The sequence below is a fragment of the Homo sapiens genome, chromosome 7 (genome assembly GCF_000001405.40).
Source record: "Homo sapiens chromosome 7, GRCh38.p14 Primary Assembly".
Taxonomy (NCBI): Eukaryota; Metazoa; Chordata; class Mammalia; order Primates; family Hominidae; genus Homo; species Homo sapiens.
Genome location: NC_000007.14, coordinates 77,697,552 through 77,718,368, shown reverse-complemented (window position 1 = coordinate 77,718,368; position 20,817 = coordinate 77,697,552). Strand labels below are relative to the sequence as shown.

Here is a 20,817-nt window from a genome sequence, read left to right as displayed (position 1 = left end):
GATTGCACCAGTGCCTACCAGCCTAGGCAACAGTGAGACTCAGTCTCAAAAAACATAAAACAAAATACACTGATATATTAAAATCAAGAAGTGAAGGGCTAAAAGAAAAAAGGCTTAATATATAATGTCAGAGCTATAAACACAATCAAACGCCTTGAAATTATTTCCTCCCATAACTTCTGTGACATTGTAGAGCTCGCTTTTCCTATCTAGCTGCCATGAATATTAGTTCATATAATGTTCTCTCTCCCCACAACTCCTTTATCTCTTTGCTGAAATCCTACCATACTGCCCTTTCAAAGTTTCTCTCAAATATCTCCTCTCCTACATCTCTTCTCCCTTTCTTTTCTGAGACACAGTCTCGCTCTGTCGCCCCGACTGGAGTGCAGCAGCACGATCTCGGCTCACTGCAGCCTCCGCCTGCCAGGTTCCAGTGATTCTCCTGCCTCAGCCTCCCAAGTAGCTGAGATTACAGGCACACAGCACCACGCCCAGCTAATTTATATATTTTTTAGTAGAGACAGGGTTTCACCATGTTGGCCAGGCTGGTCTTGAACTCCTGACCTCAGGTGATCCGCCCACCTCAGCCTCCCAAAGTGCTCAGATTACAGGTGTGAGCAGCCACACCCGGGACCTTGTCCCTTTCTTAACTGCCTTAGTATCTGCCTGCCCTCACTCCACACCACAACTTTCTACTTATGGTATTTAACTTACTGCAGTATATATTATAAGTATCCTGCTACATTGTTTGGAGGCAGAAATTGTATTTATCGATTTTGCCATTTTTCTTAACACTTTGCCACAGCATTTAAGAACCAAAAATATTTATCTCTGCTAATCTCAGATTTCAAAGACAAAAACAATGCTTGAAGTACCACAAAGTATTTTACTATAATTCATTCTGTTTCTGATTACAATTGTATAGCTTCTCACTGTTATAACATTATATATCCAATTACCAATTATATGTAGAAAAACCAAAGTCTTTTTTATATACTAGTAATAATCTCACAAAAATATACTAGGAAAAACTCCCATCATAAAAATAAAAATACTAGAAGAAAACTTACAATCTGTATTAAATACCAATAAAAATCTCTAAGACGATATAAAATAATATAAGACTACGGCCAGGCACAGTGGCTGACGCCTGTAATCCCAACTTTGGGAGGTCAAGGAGAGAGGATTCCTTGAGTCCAGGCAACATGGCAAGACTATCTCTACAAAAAATAAAATAAAAAACAGCTGGGAGTGGTGTCGCTCACCTGTAGTCCTAGCTACTCAAGAGGCTAAGATGGGAAGATAGCTTAAGGCCAGCAGTTCCAGACTGCAATGAGCTATGATTACGCCACTGCACTCCAGCCTGGGCAACAGAGCAAGACCCTGTCTCCTTTGAAAAAAAAAAAAGAATGTAAGAATAGATAGGCCAGGCACAGTGGCTCATGCCTCATGCCTCATGCCTGTAATTTCAGCACTTTGGGAGGCCAAGGCAAGCAGATCACCTGAAGTCAGGAGTTCAAGACCACCTGGTCAACATGGTGAAACCCCGTCTCTACTAAAAATACAAAAAATAGCCTGGCGTGGTGGTGCACGCCTGTAATCCCAGCTACTCGGGAGGTTGAGGCAGGACAATCGCTTGAACACAGGAGGCGGAGACTGCAGTGAGCCAAGACTGAGCCACTGCACTCCAGCCTGGGTGACAGAGCAAGACACCGTCTAAAAAAAAAAAAAAAAAAAAAAAAAAGATGAAGATACACATGCAGCTTTTAAGTACAAAGATAATTCTGTCATGACTATAATTTCCTCCTAGTTTAATCAATAAATTTAATGAAAATATCTAGAGCGTGACAGTGGGTAGAAGAACTTTACAGAATAATTCTCAAGTTAATAAAAATGGTGAAAAAAAAAAAAAGGAGCCAGACAGCTGAGGCGGGAGGATCATCTGAGCCCAAGAGTTCAAGGCTGCAGTGAGCCATGATCGCACCACCACACTCCTGCAGCCTGGGTGACAAAAGTGAGAGACGGTGTCAAAAACAAAAACAAAAACAAAACAAAACAAAAAAAACAAAGAAAAAGACAAAGGGAATCTTGACCCAAACCTTACAGACGGAAGTTTTCAAAATGCATTGCGGACCTAAATGTGAAACCTAAACCTATAAAATGCCTAGAGAAATCTAAGAGAAAATCCTGTGATCTAGGGTTAGGAAAAGCTTTCGAAGTTAAGAAACAAAAGATGCAAACCATAAAAGAAATAAAAGTATAAAGTGGGCTTCATTAATTTATAAATTTCTGCTATGAAAAACTGTGAAAGTATTAAGAGAAAGAAAAGACAGAGAATGGTAGAAAACATTTGCAAAACATGTATCTGATAAAGGAGTTCTACCCAGAATATGTAAAGAACTTTCACAATTTGATAATAAGAAAACAACCCAATAACAGACACTTTGAACAGACAACTCATCAAAGAGATATATATAGAAAATAAGTACATGAAAAGATGCTCAACATCACTATTCATTAGGGTAATGTAAATTAAAACTACAATGAACTACTACTATGCAACTACTAGAATGGCTGAAGATTTTTAAACTGGCAATATCAAGTTAGGATTCTTTCTTGAGGGGAGGTCTGAATAAGGAAAAAACAGAGCTGGCAGAAATGAAAAATACAACCACTTTGGAAAACAGTTCAGCAGTTTCTTATGAACTTAAACACACTTAACAGGCCACTTACACTTAACAGCCCAACAATTCCACTGCTAGGGCCAGGCACAGTGTCGTGCCTGTAATTCTAGCACTTTGAGAGGCTACGGCAGGCGAATCACTTGAGGCCAGGAGTTCGAGACCTTCCTGGCCAACATGGTGAGCCCCCCATCTTGACTAAAAATTTTTAAAAAATTACCCGAGTGTGGTGGCGGGCATCTGTAATCCCAGCTACTTGGGAGGCTGAGGCACAAGAATCACCTAGCCGAGATCACACCACTACACTCCAGCCTGGGCGACAAAGTGAGACTCTGTCACACACACAAAATATCCCACTGCTAGGTATTTACCCAAGAAAAATGAAAACATACATCCACTCTAATCTTTCTTTCTTTTTGAGACAGAGTCTTACTCTGTTGCAGGTTGGACTGCAGTGGTGCAATCTCAGCTAACTGCAACCTCTGCCTCCCAGGTTCAAGCAATTCTCATGTCTCAGCCTCCCAAGTAGCTGGGATTACAGGCACATGCCACCACACCTGACTAATTTTTGTATTTTTAGTAGAGATAGGGTTTCACCATGCTGGTCAGGCTGGTCTTAAACTCCTGACCTCAGGTGACCTGCCCATATCAGCCTACCAAAGTACTGGGATTACAAGCATGAGTCACCACATCCAGCCCACTACAAGATTTTTTTTTTTTTTTTTTTTTGAGATGGAGTCTCTGTCACCCAGGCTGGAGTGCAGTAGTGCCATCTCAGCTCACTGCAAGCTCCGCCTCCCGGATTCACGCCATTCTCCTGCCTCAGCCTCCCGAGTAGCTGGGACTACAGGCGCCTGCCACCATGCCCAGCTAACTTTTTTGTATTTTTAGTAGAAACGGGGTTTCACCGTGTTAGCCAGGATGGTCTCAATCTCCTGACCTCGTGATCGGCCCGCCTCAGCCTCCCAAAGTGCTGGGATTACAGGTGTGAGCCACCGTGCCCGGCCACCCACTACAAGATTTCTATGTGAATGTTTAGGGCAGGCTTACCCACAATCTTCAAATACTAGAAACAACCCAAATGTCCATCAACTTGTAGCACCAAATTGTGCTATCTCCACAAAAGGAATTACTACTCAGAAATAAAAATAAATGAACTGATTCATGCAACTGTACTGATGGATCTCAAAAGTAATATAACAAGTGAAAAAAGCTAGACCGAAAAAGCTAGTGTATGATTCAACTTATATGACATTCTAAAAAAGGCAAAACTACTGAGACAGAAAACAGATCACCCTTGGATTAGAGATGATGGGAGAGCACTGAGTAGCAAGAGAGAACTTTCTGCGGTGATAAAAATCTGCTATGTCATTACTCTACTGGTGGCTATCAACTATTCATCAAAACTCATAAAACTATATACCTAAAAAGGGCAAATCTATTTTATGTAAATTATAATTCAATAATGTTTCAAAAAGCCAGGAAAATTCTGAATAAGAATATCGGGATTTTTGCCCTATAGATATCAAATCTATCCTAAAGATAGAGTAATGAGGGTGTTAGTTGAGCAGAAACAAACTTACAGAGGTAAATGTAAAAAAGTGCAAATCTAAAAACAGACCCAACTACACATGTGATTTTAGTATGATAAACATTAGCATTCTACATCTTTATGGAAAGGAAGGACTAGTCAATAAATGATGTTAAAACAACTAATTACTGGAACAAAATTAATTTGGATTCCTAATTTTGTGTCTAAATAAATTCTAAACAGAGCAAAGATTTTAATCAATAATGTCATATAAAATAACAATAGGCTATTTAAGAAAATATTGTTATGAACTAAAGGTAGAAATAACTTTTCTAAGAAATAAAAGCCAGAAGAGCCAGGCGAGGTGGCTCACACCTATAACTCCAACACAGGGAGGAGGCCAAGGCATGAGGACTGCTTGAGGCCAGGAATTTGAGATCAGCCTGGGCAACACAGCAAGACTGTGTCTCTATTTTTAAAAAAAAAAAAAAGGAAGAGAGAGGCCGGGCATGGTGGCTCACGCCTGTAATCCCAGCACTTTGGGAGGCCAAGGTGGGTGGATCATGAGGTCAGGAGATCGAGACCATCCTGGCTAACATGGTGAAACCCCGTCTCTACTAAAAATACAAAAAATTAGCCGGGCATGGTGGCGGGCGCCTGTAGTCCCAGCTACTCGGGAGGCTGAGGTAGGAGAATGGCGTGAACCTGGGAGGTGGAGCTTGCAGTGAGCTGATATCACACCACTGCACTCCAGCCTGGGCGACAGAGTGAGACTCTGTCTCAAAGGAAAAAAAAAAAGGAAGAGAGAGAAATAAAAGCCAAAAAATTAAATTACTGATGAATTTGAGTACATAAAAACAGAAAACTTCTGTATGAAAGACCAAGTACACCCCCTTAAATAATGTTTATGAACTAATGATAGTTTAGAGAGAAAAAAATTGCAACAGTAAAGGGCTAATATTCTAATATACAAAGTTTCACAAATCAATTTTTAAAAAAAGAAAAGGATAAGTCCCTTAGACTTGGCAAAGCACATGAACATATAAGTGAAATGTGAAAAAATGTTTAATCTTAATCATTAATAAATGCAAATAATAAAATCTTCAACAATCAAAACATGGAAGATTTTGAAATCTGAGAAAACTTAGCATTGGAAAGAATGTAAAAAATGGACAGTCTCATATATAATGCAAGTGAGACAGCAAATTGTTTATCTTTCACGAAAGCATTATTTATCAAAATTTAAAGTGTATGTATCTTTAACTTTCCCCTTACCCCCTATAATTCAACTTTTAGAACTTTATCCTAAGTTTTAAGTGAATAAACGCCTACACATTGTTTTATTTTAGCATCATTTACAACAGAAAAAAGAATCTAATGTCCCACAATACAGTATCAGTTAAATATATTATGGTTTATACATATAATGCAAACATGAATACTAGGTAAGCAATTAAAATTGATAATATAGTTCTACACATATTGACATGGAACAGTATTTCTAATATACTGCTAAATGAAAAAAGCAGGTTGCAGAACACATAAACAATGTTGTGTGCATTAAAAAATCACATATGTGGCCAGGCACAGTGGCTCACGCCTGTAATCTCAGGACTTTGGGAGGCTGAGGAGGGTGGATCACCTGAGGTCAGGAGTTTAAGACCAGCCTGGCCAACATCGTGAAACCCGTCTCCACAAATATACAAAAATTAGCCAGTCATGATGGCACGTGTCTATAATTCCAGCTACTCAGGAGGCAGAGGCAGGAAAATGGCTTGAACCTGGAGTGGAGGTTGCAGTGAGCCGAGACTGCACCACTGCACTCCAGCCTGGATAACAGAGCGAAACTCCGTCTCAAAAAAAAAAAAATCATGTATGTATATATAAGATTTGTACACATATAAAAAAGCATATGCATAAAAAATTATATACATGTATATACTAAGTGAAAATAATACACTAAGTGAAAATGTAATCATTAAAACAACAGTATTTCAGATGCTTTTCTTCCTAAAATTTGAATTATTTTTACAATGAACATATATTATTATAATTAGAAAATTTAATTAGGCAATTTTTATTATGATTACAAAAAAAACATACAATTATAAAATGTCAAACGAGCTTACAAAGAACTTTCAGTATTTGGTTCAAACCTCTTATTTTACAGATGAAGACCCTTACCCTCACACAGGTTTTACTCCTTTCCTTCAGATCACAAATGGGTGGTAGGGCAAGAATTTGCTCCTAAGGCCTCCTGATTCTCAGTCCTATGGTTTTTCCATTGTATATTACACAACATGTATGTTTTCACTCATAATTCTATATATATGGAAATATGCACAACAGGTAAAATTTTACTAAAAATTTACACTGTACTTAAACATGGTTACTTCTGAACACAGAACAATTACTCAAAATGCCACTATTCTAAAATAAGAAAAAGTATTCCCTCCTTTACTTCTATTTATTCATTCCCAAACTGTTGTTGGTTAACACAGCTTTAACAATACAGGCTGGGCACTTTGGCTCACACTTGTAATCCTAGTACTTTCAGAGGCTAAGACAGGAGGATTGCCGGAACGCAGGAGTTCAAGACCAGCCTGAGCAACACAGCAAGAAGCCATATCTATGAAAAACTTTTTTTAAATCAGCCAGGTGTAGTGGTGCTCACCTGTAGTCCTAGCTACTCAGGAGGCTGGGGCAAGGGGACCGCATGAGCCCAGGAGTTCGACGTTACAGTGGGCTATAATCAAGCCACTGCACTCCGGCCTGGGTGACAGCAAGACTATGTGCCAAAGAATAAAAATGGTAAAAAAAAAAAAAAAAAAAAATTAATATGCAAAATATCTTTTTTATACAATGTAGTGCTAAGTTTCAACTATGTGCAGTTAGAGTATACAAAATGGCAATTCTGATAACTCAATTTGTCAAATATAATTTGGTTATTATTTACCCACAGTTTATTTCCTTTCCACTTGACAATTTGCCTGTTGTCTATGAGCTGCTGGTCAACTTCTTATCCCATTATCACCCTTCTGCTGTTTTCAGTTTGAAATACCAGCCAATTGTTTTTCTAAATGATAATCGGGCATCTCTTCTGAGCAGGCAAAAAGGGCTGAAATATACTGCAAGTCATTCAGTTCCCAAATATGTATCCAGAAGTTGAAGGTCTGATCCAAAAGAAGATAATCACAGACCCAGCTTTCACAGAACTTGCAGTCTAGCAAAGATGACAAACGAGTTACTAAAATGAAGGAAAGAAGGCTGGGCACGGTGGCTTAAGCCTGTATAGCACTTTGGGAGGCTGAGGCGGGCGTATCACTTGAGGTCAGGAGTTTGAGACCAACCAGGCCAACATGGTGGAACTCCATCTCTACTAAAAATACAAAAATTAGCCAGGCATGATGGCAGGCGCCTGTAATCCCAGCTACTCGGGAGGCTGAGGCAGGAGAATCACCTGAATCCAGGAGGCAGAGTTTACGGTGAGCCAAGATCGCGCCACTACACTCCAACCTGAGCAACAGAGCGAGACTCTATCTCAAAAAAAACAAAAAACAAACAAGAAAATGAAGCAAAGAAAGTCAGGATAAGAGAAGAACAAAGTGAAGGGAACCTAACCTAGTCATAGAGGAGCACAGGCCTCCCTCTCAAGTTGAGACCTAGAGAGATGAGCAGACATTAGCTAGGTGTAGTAAAAGTGTGGAGCTGGGGATGGAAAGAAAACGGGTAGAGAAAGTTCTAGGCGGCGAGGAGCACTGAGGAGAACCTGAAGAACAAAACAAGAATATGATCATCCAGAGCTGTGGAAGACATTTCAAGGAATCTGAACTTCATCCCATAAACAGAAAAGTGAGATGATTAGACATGCATTTAGATGAGATACAGGGTTCAGGGTGGTATGTCTGTAGACTATATGCATTTAGATATCTGGTTATCACTCTGACTATATAGCATGAAGAATGAAGTGAAAGCACATGGATCTGAAATAGGGAGCCCACTAAGGAGGCAACTGTGCAATAATCCTGGCAAGAGATAATGGTAATTTGAACTAAAACTAGTAGAAAAGACAGAGCAAAAGTGGAAAGATATGAAAGACAGTGAGTGGTAACAAGATTTGGCCACAAGTTCAATGAGAGCAGAGGGTACAAATCCAGTTTCCAAGACGGAGCCACTAGGTATATGGTACTGAGACAAGGAACATACATAGCAAGACAAATCTGGATAAAGAAGACTAAAAGTTTTGAACACGTTAATTTTACAGTTTAAAAAATATCTAAGGACATATTAAATGTCAAGGAGGCAATTTATATAGATTTAAAAATGGACTAAGTTAAAATTTGAGGAGTGCTAACAATGGACACTAGAAAAATACCAGGGCAATTAGCAAAAGCCAGAAAGAAGAGTACAAAGGGCCCAAAACCAAACCAAATGCTGAAACTTAGTGGCAGAAGACAAATAAGGAAAATTAGGGGGTGGGGCTGGAAGACTCTGAACAGTTAATTGCTTACCTAGGAACTAAGAAGGATTCTAGATTATTTGCTCCTCATAAAAAAAAGTAACTATTGGTGGGGAACGGTGGCTCACGCTTGTAATCCCAGCACTTTGGGAGGCCAAGGTGGGTGGATCACCTGAGGTCAGGAGTTTGAGACCAGCCTGGCCATTATGGTGAAACCCCAGCTCTACTAAAAATACAAAAATTAGCCAGGCGTAGTGGTGGGTGCCTGTAATTCCAGCTAATTGGGAGGCTGAGGCAGGAGAATCACTTGAACCCAGGAGGTGGCGGTTGCAGTGAGCCAAGATTGTGCCACTGCACTCCAGCCTGGGTGACACAGGAAGACTCTGTCTCAAAAAAAAAGAAAAGAAAAAAATAACTACTGCTATCTGCCACTGTAAGGAGAGTTCTAAAAGGGTCCCCTCCACACAGGCAGGCAGACACACATACACATACACATACATACACACACACACACACACACACACACACACACACACACACACACAAACAGAATCCCTTCTATGTCGAGCAGTTATTTTTAACCCTTACCACTGACTCACCACTAATTTTGAGTTCTATCTGATAACAAAACTCTAATATAAGGTACCTGCCTACATTTCAAACTCAGTTCTGTGGGCCAACTCTCAATTCTTCAGTGATATGCTTATTCTCTTCATCTGAAGCCATGAAAATATCTATGAATCCTTCTTTCTTGCTACATATTCAATAATCAAGATGCTTTATCATATATTTCTCTCTAGGTTTTCCTTGCCATGTCCAAGTATACCAATCATTTTATCAGTAAAATCACTTCATTTAACTAATACAGTAGTCTTCAATATCTGTCTCCAATTCTTCCCTCAGCCAATCCATCCTACACAATGCCAAAGTTATGACTGCTAAAATACCAATTTGAATATATTATCACCCTCCTAAAAAACCATGTCTTGCTGTTGCCCACAAAATAGTCTGAACTCGGCTGGGCGCGGTGGCTCACGCCTGTAATCCCAGCACTTTGGAAGGTCGAGGCGGGTGGATCACAAGGTCAGGAGATCGAGACCATCCTGGCTAACACCGTGAAACCCCGTCTCTACTAAAAATACAAAAAAATGAGCCAGGCGCGGTGGCGGACGCCTGTAGTCCCAGCTACTCCGGAGGCTGAGGCAGGAGAATGGCATGAACCCAGGAGGCGGAGCTTGCAGTGAGCCGAGATCATGCCACTGCACTCCAGCCTGGGTGACAGAGCGAGACTTATCTCAAAAAAAAAAAAAAATAGTCTCATCCTGGCAAAAGGAAGGCACACTGTGGCCAACTTTCAACTGCCATGCCATCTTAACTTCCAATTCCGTACAAAAGCATCAATCTTAGCCAGTGGTTCTCTTCACACACCACCGAACACACCACGCACCCTCCTGCCTCTACAATCTTATTCACACCATCCCACCCCCTACCCCAAACAAGCCTGTCTCCATCATCTCCATTTACCTAAATTCTACTCTTCCTCCAAAACCCAGTTCATTCATTTGGTAGTCTCACAACGCAAAGTACGATTCTGGATGAAGGTGACTTAAAAACAAATTTAACAAAGTTTGCAAGGTATTTGAGAACTGGGGCTCTGAAATCAGACTATCTAAAGATCTGAAACCTAGATTTACAACTTATTTTATATTTAAATTTTCTGAACTTCCATACAGTATTTATGAAAGGCTAATATCTAATTAAACTTTAAAGGACTTGTGAAAATTATATAAAACCACAGTATATGTAAAGTGCTGAGTACAGGTCTATACATTTTAGCTATTATTATTATTGTTTCTGTCCTCAAAGAGCTCATATCCCAGCTCATGGTGCACCCAAGTACTCACTGCATAAGCTTATGACCTATCTCGAAAGTGCTTGATATAGATGCCAGTCATCTATAATTTAAAAAAAGAAAGAAGTGCTTGACAAAGTTTACAAATTTTGGTACTTTCATTATTATCAAATGAGAAAATTGAGTAATAGTGAACATTTACTCCTTTAAGATATAAAATTCATCACTAATTCAACCAGAATATTATCCCAGGACATCTGCTTTCTATACATTGCTCCAATGACAAACCAGTGAAAGTGGCTCTGAGTTAAATATCTACAGGAAATATATACTCTTCTATAAAAAAAGCTAACAAAAGTAGCTACTTAAATATGCAATGCAAAGATGGCTGATAAAATTAATTTCTTAATAAAAAGGTATTATATATTTTTTCTTCAGATTAATCATTGAGAGTAAAGGAAAGGTCATAAATGATCACTAAAACAATACCTGCTCTGAAGGACTTTATAAAATCTAGTTCAAGGCCAGACACGGTTGCTCAAGCCTATAATCCCAGCACTTTGGGAAGCCAAGGCAGATGGATCACTTGAGGTCGGGCATTCAAGACCAGTCTGGTCAACATGGTGGAACCCTGTCTCTACTAAAAATACAAAAATTAGCTGGGCGTGGTGGCACACAACTGTAAGTCCAGCTACTTGGGTGGCTGAGGCATGAGAATCACTTGAACCTGGGAGGCAGAGGTCGCAATGAGCCAAGATCGCGCCACTGCACTCCAGCCTGGGTGACAGAGTGAGACTCTGTTTCAAAAAAAAAAAAAAAAAAATCTAGTTTAATGGGAATTCATACGGGTATACAGTTAATTTACATTAGCCAAGAGAGGACATTATGGAATAGAGATTATAATTCTAAATTATACACAGTATCATTAATATATATTTGCTATATTTAAAAACTGGCAGGGCTTTTTTATTTTTGGCCATGTTGCCAATATTGTAATAGATTACCAACTGTAATTGCCCTACTACAATCAATCTTTATCTACAAGCACTGTGCAAGTGGCCTTCCAAAATTCAAACTATGGTGAATTAAGAATTCAATAAAAGAGTTTACCAAAAGATTCTGACCATACAGGTAACAATAAACTTACAGTATTTACTCTGGTATCTGAAATCAAAATAGATTGCCAAATTTTAAACTAGACATAGGAGGAGCAATTTATACTGAATTTCCCACCCCCCAGAATAATTCATTTTATATTTAGAAATCATTTGGCATCATTCTTTAACCCCCAATGAAATGGTTAGGCTGGGATAATTAACAATATAATACCATTAAGGCCAGGCCTAGTGGTTCACACCTGTAATCTCAGCACTTTGGGAGGTCGAGGCAGGCAGATCACTTGAGGTCAGGAGTTGGGAGACCAGTCTGGCCAACATGGTAAAACCCTGTTTCTATTAAAAATACAAAAGTTGCTGGGCGCGGTGGCTCAGGCCTGTAATCCCAGAGCTTTGGGAGGCCAAGGCAGGCAGATCATGAGGTCAGGAGCTCGAAACCAGCCTGGACAACATGGTGAAACCCCATCTCTACTAAAAATACAAAAAATTAGCCCAACGTAGTGGCAGGCGTCTGTAATCCCAGGTACTCAGGAGGCCGAGGCAGGAGAATCGCTTGAACCTGGGGGGCGGAGGTTGCAGTGAATCAAGATCGCACCATTGCACTCCACCATGGGCGACAAAAGCAAGATTCCGTCTCAAAAAAAAAAAAACATTAAATAAAAAAGTTAGGCGGGCATGGTGGCAGGCACCTGTAATCCCAGCTACTTGGGAGGCTGAGGCAGGAATCGCTTGAACCTGGGAGGTGGAGGTTACAGTGAACCAAGATCACATCACAGCACTCCAGCCTTGGCGACAAAGTGAGACTTCATCTCAGAAAAAAACAAAAAAGAAAATGTTATTAAGTAAAAGACAATTAGGGAATTGGATATTCACAAAGCATCACCCCACAGATTACAAGCTAAATGCAAATATAAAAATGAACCATTACAGGCCAGGCGTGGTGGCTCATGCCTGTAATCGTGAGACCGAGGCAGGCAGAACACCTGAGGTCAGGAGTTCAAGACCAGCCTGGTCAACATGGTGAAACCCTGTCTCTACTAAAAATACAAAAATTAGCTGGGCATGGTGGCATGCGCCCGTAATCCCAGCTACCCAGGAGGCTGAGACAGGAGAATCACTGGAACCCGGGAGGCAGAGGCTGCAGTGAGCCGAGATTGAGCCACTGCACTCCAGCCTGGGCAACAGAGCAAGACTCCATCACAAAAAAAAAAAAAAAAAAACCATTACAATGGAGAGACCTAGTGGTCACCTCAATCAAGTAATCAAATTTAGCATCATTAATAATGGGACAATCTAAAGACTGTATGCCTCCTGATCCAAACGTAATATGAGTACCTAGGAAACACTCTCACCAAAATTGTTTAACTCGAATTTAATCAAGTCTTTATAGTTAACTTTCAATTTACATGAAATACAAAGTAAATATCACCACAATAAGACAATTATTTTAAAAATTATGAATACAGGAAAATCTGCATGATAACAGGTATGCTGGACTGGTATCTTCAAAAAGTCAATGTCATATTAAAAAGTCAAGGTACATGTATTTTATCACAATTTTTAAAAATAATTTTTTAACAAGAGCTAATCTGGAAAATATAAAAGCGAATCTAGACTGGCAATATACCAAATTAATGATAGTATGGGGGTTAAGATATTGGAGATACATCAATTAATGATAGTTTGGGGTAGAGGAAGAATCTCACTCTTATATTTATACATTTACACACACACACACAACTTTTTTTTTTTTGAGACAGTTTCACTCTTGTTGCCTGTCGCCCAGGGTCAAGTGCAATGGTGCCATCTTGGCTCACTGCAACCTCCACCTCCCAGGTTCAAGTGATTCTCCTGCCTCAGCCTCCCAAGTAGCTGGGATAACAGGCGCCCGACACACCTAATTTTTGTATTTTTGGTAGAGACAGGGTTTTACCATGTTGGCCAGGCTAGTCTCGAACTCCTTGACCCCAGGTGATCCACCCACCTCAGCCTCCCAAAGTGCTGGGTTTACAGGCATGAGCCACCACGCCTGGCCACAATTTAAACTTTATAAGCACTATTAGTTACTTAATGGGAAAAAAAAATCAGCTCTAATTGTTTCTTAATGAAATTATTTATGTCTGGAATATGCTTTAAAATGCTAGAGCCAAAAATAAATAAATTAATGGAGGAGCGGAGGTGAAAAAAACTGTTGAAGTAGCATAATGGGTACACCCAGAATTCAATGTATACTGGTTTCTTTTGTATTAATTTAAAATCTTATGATTAAAAAGTTAAACTTTTCAATCTGTAATTCAAGAAAAAATAAAACATACAACATAAAGTTTAATGTATACTCAAAAATAAAAATGTTTTGAAGTTTTAAGTTTATCATTATTTTTCAATATCCTATTTTAGGTAGTTTATCCATTACTTGAAAAGTTTAATTCATTTGAGATTGGTGAAAAATTAATGAGATTTATTATAATCAACTTAAAACTTCTGAAATACAAACTTCTTTCAAAAAGTTAGTATTGTTCATTCTAACATATCAGATGGTCTCAGAAACCAGGACACCATGAGAAAATTAGACAAATTATACTTACTTGTGAATTCAGTGAAACTACATGTCTCCAATGCGTTAGGTATGAAAGAAAGGTCAGGAACTAGCATCCCTTATGAATGCCTAACAATATGCCAGGTTCTACAATATACCATGTTCACATAATTCTAACAATCACCCTGTGAAAATATCATCCCTTTATAACGGATGTATATCAGCTCAAAAAGAGTAAGTGTATCGGGGCGTGGTTGCACACCTGTAGTCCTAGCTACTGGGGAGGGTGAAGCAGGAGAATCCTTTGGGCTCAGGAGTTCAAGGTTACATTGAGCTATGATTGTGCCACTGCATTCCAACCTGGGCAACAGAGCAAGATTCCTGTCTCTTAAAAATATACCCAAATAGGCCGAGCGCGGTGGCTCACGCCTGTAATCCTAGCACTTTGGGAGGCCGAGGCAGGCAGATCACCTGAGGTTAGGAGTTCGAGACCAGCCTGGCCAACATAGTGAAACCCCTTCTCTACAAAAATACAAAAATTAGCTGGGCATGTTGGTGGGCACCTGTAGTTCCAGCTACTTGGGAGGCTGAGGCAGGAGAATCGCTTGAACTTGGGAGGCAGAGGTTGCAATGAGCAAGATTGTGCCACTGCACTCCAGCCTGGGTGAAATAGTGAGAGTCCTTCTCAAAAAAAAAAAAAAAAAAAAAAAAAAAAAACCCAAACAGTAGGAAAAAAGAGACACACACACACTCCACGTCTGACATAACTAGGAGATACTGTAACTATTACCTGAAATACAATGTATAAAGACAAAAAGCTGATGGTAGAATGGTAAATGCCTTAGCATAATGGGAGAGATAATGACAAACAATCCTCTTTATCCTGCAATACCCCAGAAAAGCTCAGAAATCAGAGGGCGCTAGGAAATAGGGCAGAATACCCACAAACACACACTCCTAAGGAAACAAGAGGTATGGTCCTCAGTAAAACTGAATCAGAGTGGCTCCAAGATGAGGGGTATCCCTCACAGAAAAGAGAAGTGAAATGCTGGTATGAAAACAGGGAGACTAGGTAAAAACTTATGAAATGAATGACAAGACTTGTAGCTTTCTTCCCCCATGAAGCGCTAGAACCCTGTCATACAAACTCATTACCTCTGCCAAGCCCTTCACTATGGACTGAATCATGCCTCCCCAAAATCCATATGTTGAAGCCTTAATGCCCAATGTGACTGTATCTGAAAATAAGGCTTTTCGGAGGTAACTAAGATTAAATGAGGTCAAAGGGCACAGTCCCAATCCAATAAAATTGGTAGCTTTATAAAGAGAAAAGGAAGAGATTTTTCTTTCCATTATAGGAAAAGTCATGTGAGCACACAGGAAGAAGGCAGTCACCTACAGACCAGGAAAAGAGCCCTTACCAGAACCTGGCCATGATGGCATGCTGACCTCACGCTTCCAGCCACCAGAATTATAAAAAAATTAATTTCTGTTAAGTCACCCATTCTATGGTATTTTATTATAGCAGCCCGAGTGACTAAGACACCCCTCCTCTCTCCATCATTCCACCCACAAAGAGACAGGAAAATTAAAGGACATCTATCTGAAGAAACTGAAAGCCTTCTTGCCCACCACCCAGAGAAAAGAAATGAAGATTAAAAACACAGCAGTCCATTAGTCATTAACCTTGCTCATGATCACAAAGATCTGAACAAAACCTCCAACTAAAAGAAAGCAACCAAAACAAACAGAAATAAGTAAGAAAAACCAAAAATAATAGGGAGAACAGAAGAACACCTCAAAGAAGCTGTAATTAATATCCTTGAAGAGGAAACAGAAAACGTTGCACCCATGAAAAAGGAACAAAATACTATAATACTGAAACAAAGGACAGGAGCTCTTAAAAATTCTTATTAAAGGCTTAAACTTTTCCAGGCGCAGTGGCTCACACCTGTAATACCAGCACTTTGGGAGGCCAAGGCGGGTGGATCATGAGGTCAGGAGTTGGAGACCAGCCTGGCCAACACAGTGAAACCCTATCTCTACTCAAAAATACAAAAAATTAGCTGGGTGTGGTGGTGTGCGCCTGTAGTCCCAGCTACTCAGGAGGCTGAGGCAGGAGAATCATGCGAACCTGGGAGGCAGAGGTTGCAGGGAGCCAAAACTGCATTGCACTCCAGCCTGGGCGACAGTACAAGACCGTCTCAAAAAAACAAAAGCTAAAACTTTAAAATTCAGTCAAGGCCAGCCACGGTGGCTCACGCCTATAACCCCAGCACTTTGGGAGGCCAAGGCAGACAGACCATCTGAGGCCAGGAGTTCCAGACCATCCCGGCCAACATGGAGGAACCCCATCTCTACTAAAAATACAAAAAATTAGCTGGGCGTGGTGGCGCACACCTGTAATACCAGCTACTTGGGAGGCTGAGGCAGGAGAATTGCTTGAACCCAGGAGGCAGAGACTGCAGTGAGCCAAGATCATGCCACTGCACTCCAGCCTAGGCAACAGAGCAAGACTCCATCTCAAAAAAAAAAAAAAAAGTAAAATTCAGTGAAAGTTCAGAAGGAAGAGTGAGATGTGAAGAAAAACACCAAAGAAAAAAATATATAAATTATAAAATTCAGTGAAAGGATTGACATTCCCCAGATAGTAGAATAGACAACTTTTTGGAGATCAGACGTCTTAACATCTACTTTGGGAACCAGGCAATAAGGGAACACCACCTTCAAACTTTTGAGGGAAAATTATTTCCAATGCAGAAATCTCTTAACTGCCAGTCAAGTAAAAGGATAAAAATGAAATCCAAAATGAAAATCCAAAATGAAGGAAGAAACCAAAAGGAAGGCATGAGATCCGGAAAAATAAAATTCAACAAAAGTTAAAGAAATTCCCAGAATGTCAACTAAGGAAAGTCCCAAGGTGACAGCTATGCAGCAGGCCTAAAGAGGAAACAACCCAGGCTAAAGCAGTAAGGACAGCTACAGAAGGGATGTCGTTTTTTTTTGTTGTTGTTGTTGTTGTTGTTTTTTTTTTTTTTTTTTTGAGCCAGAGTCTTGCTCTGTCGCCCAGGCTGGAGTACAGTGACGCCATCTCAGCTTACTGTAACCTCCGCCTCCTGGGTTCAAGCGATGCCTCAGCCTCCCAGGTAGCTGAGACTATAGGTGCGTGCCGCCACACCCGGCTAATTTTTTGTATTTTTAGTAGAGATGGGGTTTCACCGTGTTGCCCAGGCTAGTGTTGAACTCCTGAGCTCAGGCGATTCGCCAGCTTCAGCCTCCCGAAGTGCTGGGATTACAGGCGTGAGCCACCGCGCCCGGCCCCAGAAGGGATGTCTACAGGAACAAATGGAATGGGTAAGTTTATCTGACAGATTTGCCCATGTGGAAAATTGTACTGAGAAGCATTTTATGGAGCTACTGGAGGGTACAGAAAGACTCTGCCAGAGAAAACTAAGCAAATGAAAAAAATGAGACATGAAAAACAAAAGGTTACACAAGAAAATAAAATCATAGTAAATTATTCCCTCAGCAGAGACAAATATTTAGTCATATGATAAAAACTCTGAATATGAATTTAACCTAAAATTGTACAGTAACAATACTGGAGGAGAGTGTAGTTAGAAAAATCTTCAGACACCCATCCCTTTGACATCACTCACATTTATATACCTCAAATTATTTGATTCTAAGAAAAGCTGCTATTTTCATTAGAGTTAAATCCTGCAACTACACTTTCAAGGCAAAAATTCAGTGAAATGCTCTGGTTTTGTCTTGAAATACTTCACAGGGTCATTTTAAGGAAAAAAGTAAGTTAACAAATACAAAGCAAAAGTACTAACAAAAGTTAGAAGATCTATACAAATTTTGCTGGTTACTGGAGTCAGTGAAGGCACACTGACAGCTAATGAAATATTTGTTGTGGTTTGCCATAAAATAATTCTAAATTTTGGATACCCTTGGTATATGTCCACTTTTACTTTCCACACTTACCAATTCTACAATTTATTCAGTCTTACAGGAATATTGATTAACTCTCCAGTAAATTACCTCCGTAAGCACTAAAATCAGGTTATTTTCTGGTTTTAAAAATCTAAAATGTTGGCCAGGCACGGTGGCTCACGCCTGTAATCTCAGCACTTTGGGAGGCCAAGGCAGGCAGATCACAAGGTCAGGAGTTTGAGACCAGCCTGGCCAACATGGTGAAACCCCCTCTCTACTAAAAATACAAAAATTAGCCAGGCGTGTTGGCGAGTGCCTATAATTCCAGCCACTCGGGAGGCTGAGGCAGGAGAATTGCTTGAACCCGGGAGGCGGAGGTTGCAGCGAGCCGAGATCGCGCCACTGCACTCCAACCTGGCCAACAAGAGCGAGACTCTGTTTCCAAAAAAAAAAAAAAAATCTAAACTGTTTTGCACTTTTCCTTCTTATAAGAAATTTAACTTTTACTTGGTGAGTCAAGCTATCACGCAAGTCAGCTACAGTACTATGATTAGATGGCCTTAGAGATTGTGAGGCATCAGGCCCTGGTACTAAATGGGGCCATATTAGTATACTTTCATAATTCTCTTGTTCAGCATTCTTAACTTTCATATCTGTCAATGATCCTTCCTCTATCAGCATTCACCCATCTTTCAATTAGTTATAGGGTTAAAAAATTAATAACTATGCTTCAGACTCAAATAACATTTACTAAATACCCTGCTAGGCCCTTTCTTATACATGCTTTCATTTAACCCAAATACGTTCTGTTAGAATGGTCACCAATGTAAAAATAAAGCAGTTCTGACTTAGGACTTTTTAAAAGCCCTACTATTAATAAATACAGGAGCTTAATTGTTTAATCAAATTGGGGTGCAGGCTAGGTCTTTCGAGTGTGTGTGGTTCAGTTTTGTTTTGTTGAGGGAGAATCTCTTCCTTGTTTAGGTGTCTTTATAGCTAATGTCTGGTTCTGACTCAGACTGTTCAATCAGCCAGCTGTGGATAATTGAGGGGTTACTGAACCATGCACAGCCAACTTAGGGCAACACTAAAAAGAGGTATATACCTAAACAAACACTTGGTCACCCATTCACTAAGATTTTTACAAAAAGCACAGAGAAATGATCATTGTATTGCAAATCAGGACTTTCATATTTGCAATTATATCTATAATAAAGGCATATATGTATTCTTGCTATACCACTTGTTAATACCGCTATTTAAGAATCTTCTTAATTCGTTAAAACAGAACATCAATTCAGTTAAATCCAAACTTTAGAAAGATATAAGTATTCCCCAAGTTACGAGGGAAAAATTTTCACCATTAAATTTACCACCAAGACACTGGAAAGGAATCTTTTTCTCTGATAGTTTTTCCTCAACAAGATAGCATTTGTGTCTGAAAAAATGAAAATCTTACAGTAGTGTTAATATCTTGTCACTACTCCAAAAAACCCACATAGGTCATGGGAAAAGATCATTCCCACATCTTAATGTAAAACCTATCACTGTTTATATTCAGGATTAATAATATTAGTGTTAACCCTCAAAAGAAGAAGGATTCTAAATGTAATTGAAAAGACTATAAAAATTCCTCTTTAACAGCCATTTCACTTTAAGGACCATTTGTGTACTCCACATTTTAAGTTAGAATTGTTAAAGAATGCTTACTTATTTCTTCTCAAATATTCCATTACTCCAACTATGTAATACTCATATTCACTTCCTCTTTCAGAGAACTTACAGCAAATGTGCAGTTTACACACCACAAACACTAGTGATGATACCAAGCTGCATATGGACAAACTTCCAGGCACTTATCTCCTAAATTTTACATATAAATTGTTAAAACAAAATAGCTTTAAAATACTAATCACCTGGAATTCCTGACTAAAAGTACCAAAATCCCATCCTCAAAACCACTTTCCTAGAAACAACACTCCCAGAAGCTGAAAGATATTTACATTGCACCAGAGTCCCTGATGGCTATGCTTAGATGTTAAAGCTTTGCTACAGGCAAAAAATATCAAGGAAGAAGTGACACTATTGCTACATGCACATGCAGCATGTTTTAAGTTGTGAAAACAAACCATTATAATCCAAACAGAATTTTTCATGATCTGAGCTACTGTTAGATCAGCAATGCTGAAACTGCTTGACATTTCTTTTTCTAAAAAACAAAAAGAGTTATTTGACAACACTGTGTAGCAGTGCACATTTATAATAAAGATTATGCGCTTTAAGCTTGCGATCACATAAAGATTTGATTTTCAACTAGTCCGTATGTTGCACTATTGTCAGATCATTGTGTATCCGTAGCTGAAGTGGTGGAAACACCTGAAAAATTATACGACTAGCCTACATTTAAAAACAAAACTGACCCTGTCTGACAAGAACCCTTAAGAATTCGCCTTTTTCTAATGCTCAAACATTCTGCAGCCGCTTGATCTGGCGAAAAATCGTCAAAGCTCCTGGTTTTATCATTTGCTGCAGGGAAAAAAAGAATATGGCTGAAAATTCTTTCAGAAGGGTGGTATTTCAAACAGGACCACCCAAAACACTTAAGAATACGCAGCGGAGAGTAGGGTGCAGGGAGGGTACCTTACGAAACAGCGCACTTCGGGCCCTGCACGCTACCTCATTTCCCTAATAGGGATGAAAAGCT

At 39.6% G+C, this 20,817-nt stretch overlaps 1 protein-coding gene across 1 annotated transcript in view, besides 1 other annotated feature; it reads right to left on the bottom strand.

Annotated features, from left to right (window-relative positions):
- RSBN1L (round spermatid basic protein 1 like) overlaps positions 1–20,817 on the bottom strand; it is an 86,564-nt gene that overhangs the window by 64,654 nt on the left and 1,093 nt on the right. The gene's annotated exons all lie outside the window — the stretch shown is intronic.
- Positions 20,690–20,789: a silencer, noted in NCBI's record as "silent region_18329". NCBI's record gives its function as "represses an Ori minimal core promoter by ATAC-STARR-seq in GM12878 lymphoblastoid cells {active_cell/tissue: GM12878}" and the evidence as "EXISTENCE:reporter gene assay evidence [ECO:0000049][PMID:35858748]".